General features: G+C 54.2%; 1 protein-coding gene across 6 annotated transcripts; it reads right to left on the bottom strand.

Moving 5' to 3' along the window:
* Positions 1-1,065: 1,065 nt before the first annotated feature.
* GNLY (granulysin) lies at positions 1,066-5,560 on the bottom strand. Of its 6 annotated transcripts, none has more exons than NM_012483.4 (6): positions 5,448-5,560; positions 4,922-5,165; positions 4,495-4,598; positions 3,862-3,960; positions 2,241-2,412; positions 1,066-1,354 (listed from the first exon to the last, which is right to left on the bottom strand). In NM_012483.4, exons 2-6 carry the CDS (start codon positions 4,926-4,928, stop codon positions 1,344-1,346), a joined length of 393 nt encoding a protein of 130 aa, NP_036615.2. In that variant the 5' UTR covers positions 4,929-5,165; positions 5,448-5,560; the 3' UTR covers positions 1,066-1,343. The 6 variants fall into 6 exon arrangements, with proteins under 6 accessions (NP_036615.2, NP_001289687.1, XP_005264141.1 ...); NM_001302758.2 differs by having other exon boundaries at positions 4,922-5,002; XM_005264084.3 differs by lacking the exon at positions 2,241-2,412 and having other exon boundaries at positions 4,922-5,002.

Here is a 5,560-nt window from a genome sequence, read left to right as displayed (position 1 = left end):
ATTGTATTGTAAGGTAGCACGTTTCCTTTTCCCTTGTTTATTTATTCATGTATTATTTGTATTTGTATGAATTCATGGATTCTGCTTTATTCAATGGATTACGATCTGTTCTTGTCATCATCTATTCTGAGGCTCAAATAGCCCCAGATTTGGCCATCGGTAGTCCCCTTGAACAGCTTCTTTGATTGAACCCAGAATAACACACCATACTCCTTGGGTGGCCAGCATCCATTTTTCCCTCTTCCCACCAACAGTAGCCCAGATTTTCATGTTTATTGTCAACCAAGTGATTGGGTTGAGATGGACCCCACCTCAGCTCCAGGGGTGTGCCCTGCTTAGCTTAAGCCAATCAGTGTACCCCATTATTCTCCAGGACACAGTGATTGGTCTGAGGGTGGGCAAATGACCTGTGAGAACTGGCCAATGAGAACTGAGGAGATAGCTGATAGGCCTTCTGGGAAAGAAGCTTCCTATTTCTTTCCAAGGGAGCTCTCTCTCCCTCTGATGGAGGCACTGTAAAGAGGTGAAGTGTGGACCTGATGAAGCCATTTCTGCTGCCAAGAGAGAAGCGAACCTGAAGACAATTTCAATATACAGAGGTCGGGAGAACGAAAAATTGCAATAAAACAGGACTGGGGCTCTGCTGACGCCACACATTTCTGGATCATTCTGTGCCTGAACATACCCGTGGACTGGTTAATTATTTGAACCAGTAAATTATCTTTTTTGATTAGGCCAGAATGGGCTGAGACTTCTGTTGCTTGCAACCAAAAGGGCCCTAAAAGATACACTCCCCCGAAACCGCAAAGGAAGGCTGCCTGTCGCAAGAAGCAAGAGGATGGGTTTCTGTTCCTTTTCACCAAAAACAAAACAAAAACACCTCTAACCCTGCTGGTCTATCCCACTGGTCTGAGAGCTTCTGGGGACATCGCCACTGTGTGCCTTGGCCTTTCTGAATAACGCATGGCTGTGGTGAGTGCTCAGTAAGCATTTCACGACTAACTGTGTGAATGCTGTTAAGGTTGTCTCGTTCACCACTAAATCCATAACATCTACAACAGTGTATGGGACACACGACAGACATTTATTGAAGGACTACACAGCTCACCCCAGCATGCCACTGACACCCACCCCTCAAATCCACCAAAGAAGAAGCAGCTGCGGCTAAAATCTTGCTTGACACTTTATTCTCGTGAGAGGGGAGGACAGCAGAGGGAGTCAGGGGAGGGAGACTGGAGAGTGGATTCTGGATCGAGGAAGCGAGGAGCCGGCAGAGGTTGCTGAGGTTCCCGGGATCTGAGGACAGGAGCCTGTGCTTCTTCCACAGGACAAGGTGAGAGGGCTCAGAGGGGACCTGGAGAGGAGAGAACAGCCAGCTGTGGGCAGATGTGGTGGGTCCTCAAGGAGAAGCAGGCACTCAGAATGTTACTTGCTTAAGGTCCCAGAGCCACCTGACCCTACTGAACACACCCAGAGGCACATCCTGGAAGCCAGTCGGCAGCCTGAGCAGGTTGTGGGGCCTTGAATAGAAAAGCCACAAGCTCCAATGACAGGAAATGGTGGGGACCCCCGATCTGCCAGCATAAAATCCCAGAGCATTGGCAAGTGCCAGCTGAGCTGCCAGAGCCAATCACCGAGGCCCCTTTCTGGCCCCATTTCCTACAGCCGAGATCTGTTCTCTCCAGGCACAGCCTGGGCAGCCATGGAGGGAAAGGCCTCATGCTCCCCTGCCTGAAGGGTTCCCTAGCCCAGATCTCAGGGCCCAGGATTGTGGGGGAGGATATGGCCCCAGCTCCCGACCCCAGGGGCCTGTGCTGGGCTGGGATTGGAGTTTGACTGAGGGTCTGATGACCTTGAATAGCCTCAGTCTGAGGACATTTCCCCAGGGTCAGGTCCACACACACGGTGACCTCCTTCAATTCTCATTCCAATCTCAAAAATCAGGATTGCTATCTCCCCTTCACAGATGAAGAAACTGAAGCTCAGAGAGGTCAAGTTATTTGCTTAAGGTCACACAGCCAGGGAGAGATGGAGACCAGATTTTACTCCACGACCACCTGTGTCTGAAGCCCAAGCTCTAATCAGTATTTCTCAAACATTTCTAGCTAAAGTCCATCTGCTCAATTCTCCACACTTTCCCAAGCTGGGAGATGGGGGAGTAAGGAGGCAGCTTTGATATATCCTGGGGGAAGCTGTCTCCAACCCTCAGGAGGTATCCCTGCTGTCACCTCTGCACTCACCTGTAGAAGGTATACACAACCTGAGGTCCTCACAGATCTGCTGGGCAGTTTCTCCGGCCACGAGGCCCTGGGTAACTCTAGACTGATACCTCCTCATGAAATTTCTGCAGACGTCGCGCCATCGTGACCTCCCCGTCCTACACACCCGGGTCGCAGCATTGGAAACACTTCTCTGCAGCAGCAGCACCACAGTGGACATGGTTATAGGGTGAGTCCTGCCCAGCTCTGCCACCCTGCAGGTTCCAGCAGCCCTAGCAATGGGAGTACTGGGTGCGAGGAGCTGGCACCTGGTGCCCATGGGGCCAGAGACTGTACAGACGGGGCTCAGCCCCTACTCCCAGTCCCCAAGGCCTGGCCCAAGACTGGCCAGGTAGGGCTCCTGAGACAAGGACAGTTAGCCCTGCTGGGGTCTCAGCGCCTTGTGCACCTGTCCCCTGCCTTCTGTGTGGAGAATGGTGCCCATGGCTGCCAGGCACACATTAAATGCTCTGCCATGTAGCTACCTGGGTCCAGGACCTGGCTGGGGGCTCCAGATAGAGGGGGTGCATAGAGAAGACTGGTGGGGTGGGAGGTGTGGTCAGAGCTTGGAGTCTTGGCTCATTTGGTTTTAAAGTCTCTTCTATGCCATCCCAGGGGAGGAGGATGAATCTGGGTATCCAGGGCTAAGTGCGAGCCTGCAGTGCCAGGATGCTGAGTAGTTTGGGGCAGCAGAGGAGAGGGAAGGAGGGAGAGTGAAACAATAATTCTTGGTAGTAACACAGTCATTCGTTAAGCATTTACTCAGTGCTGGACGTGGAGCTAAGTACATCCCAGCCCTCAGCTCTTTTAAAAAGCTTCAGCAGCCAGGTGCAGTGGCTCATGCCTGTAATCCCACACTTTGGGAGGCCAAGGCAGGTGGATTGCTTCAGCTCAGAAGTTGGAGACCAGCCTGGGCAACACAGTGAGACCCTGTTTCTACAAAAGTACAAAAATTAGCTGGGCATGGTGGCGCACACCTGGAGCCCCAGGTACTCAGGAGGCTTAGACAGGAGAATTGCTTGGGCCAGGGAGGCAGAGGTTGCAGTGAGCCAAGATCACACCAGTGCACTCCAGCCTGGGTCTCAGAGTAAGATCCTATCTCAAGGAAAAAAAAAAAAAAAGGGTTTGACAACTTGCAAGATAGGGACTATTATCCATCACATTTCAAAGATAAGATAACAGAGGCTCAGAAAGTGGAAGTGACTTGCCCAAGGCCATGCAGCTTGGAAGTAGCAGATCTGGGATTTATCAGTCCTGACCCAGGCCTCTTGGGGAACTAGCTTCTCAAACTCTGCCTTGGACACAAATGTTAGGGCTTTAGGGGAAGATTCCTAACTTCTCTGGGACAAGCCCTCTTTGAGGATACATGATGAAAACCATGTATACTCTGCCGTCTGACTTACACAGTTCCAGAGAGTCACAATTTCACAAGTTCTCTGAAATTCATCCACAGACACACGGGGACTCACAGATTCCCTTCTAGGAAGCCCTCCCCCAGGATCACTGTGCAAGGTGCCCCCGGGCTCCCCGATCCCCGACCTGGTCACAGGCTGGCCCCTCCATTGAGCAGCAGACAGGAGGCTCTGTAGCCCCTTGGCCTCACCTGGGTGGGCTTATCCACCATCTTCTTCAGTTTTTGGACTATCGTCAGACAGGTCCTGTAGTCACGGCCCAGCTCCTGTGTTTTGGTCAACAGGTCACCCTGTCAGGAAAGAAAGCCCTTATGATGGTCTCTCAGACACTCTGGGAGCGCGTGAAAGTGCCCAGGAAAGGGGCCCTTTGTGTTTCTGAGGCCGGCAGGAATGTCCGTGATCTCTTCCCAGAGCGTGGATACACTGAAGGCCTGAACTGGCTGCCTGGCCCCTGCCCACCCTTTTGCTTGTCTTAGAGGCTCTGAGACACCCCAGAAACAGCCTCCCACACCCCCAGTACTTTCCCAGCCCTGCACTTGCCCCTCTCCTATTGAGGAACTCCCAGGGGAGTCTGCCTATTTGGGTTCTGCAGCCCCAGGCTCCTTGGAGGGTGAGACCCCAGAGGATCCTCCTGGAGGAGTCTGCCAGATACCTGTAGCCCTCCTGGCCAGACATGAATTCAACAAAACCAGCATCGTCAGAAACAGCCCAGCCTCCACTCCCACCTCCTGACCATTAGAGAGCTCCAGACCTCACCCCAGGAGCCACCAGGGAGGAGGGAAAGGAGAGGGACTGTGGCAGGTGAGCAGAGAGCCAACACGTACCTGGGGGCCCTCCTGGGCCAGGCACGGGCAGGATTTCTCCTCATCACGCAGGTGGGCTCTTGCCAGGTCGTAGTACTCAGGGCTCAGACGAGAGAAGACCAGACCTGAGGAAGACCAGACTTCAGCTTCCCCTCCGCAGGCGGAAGGAGAGGGAAAGCCCGTTCTCCTGGCTGGTGGGAGTCCAGGAGGTGACCAGGGCCTAGGACAGGAGCTGGGCCTTGCAGGGGGCCAGGATACCTGTCCACATGCTTTGCCCTGGAGCCGCTCTGACCCACTCTCAGCACAAACACGTGTTCTCACGTTCCTTCTAGAAAGCCAGGAGGGCGAGACTCTCTCTTCTCCTCTGTTCCCCCAGCAACACAGATTTGGGGGTCGGTTTGTCTAGAAACTTCCCTCAATCTCCTTTCAAGGGATTTTCTTTTTTTACCTTCCATCCAGATGGCCCAGCCAAATCCACTCTCCCTTCCAGAAGTGTTCTTGCCCTTGGGGCTCACACTGACCTCAAGGCCTGGGAGAGAGCAGGGTGCAGGGGGCAGGAAGTCTGCCTTGAACACAGAAGAGATCTTGTTCTCTCACCAGCCCCGCACAATCCTAGACAGTGTAGGCCCGAGGAAACGCAGATCCACCGATGAGGGCCAATGGCCTTCACCACGCAGATGCGGAGGCAGGGGCTTGGGAGGGAAAGGGGGGTCTCAGGCCACACAGTGTGGCCAGTAGAGTTAGGACCAGAATCCCTGGCCTGTCTCTCCTCCTTGGCCAGGCCAGTGACAGGCTGGGCAGCACACTGGACTAAGCCTGGCTCTGAGGGGAGGCCAGGCCTCCATGACGGGGGAGAAGGCCGGGGGGAGGCAGGGGCACCTGGGTGCCCACAGAGTCCAAGCTCCAGGTTCAGCCAGCCTGAGAGTGCGAGGCTGGGTGGGCCATCAGGATCGATCCCGAGGGGAAGGCCTTACCTGGGTTGCCCAGGAGCATGGCTGCAAGGAGCAGGAGGGCCCAGGTAGCCATGGTGGGGCAGCCGCTGAGATGCCTTTCACACCCTGTTTTATGGGCAGGGAGCCTGCAGCTT

The sequence above is a fragment of the Homo sapiens genome, chromosome 2 (assembly GCF_000001405.40).
Source record: "Homo sapiens chromosome 2, GRCh38.p14 Primary Assembly".
NCBI classification, from domain to species: Eukaryota; Metazoa; Chordata; class Mammalia; order Primates; family Hominidae; genus Homo; species Homo sapiens.
Note: the sequence above shows the minus strand (reverse complement) of the source record. Positions and strands in the feature narration are given on the sequence as shown.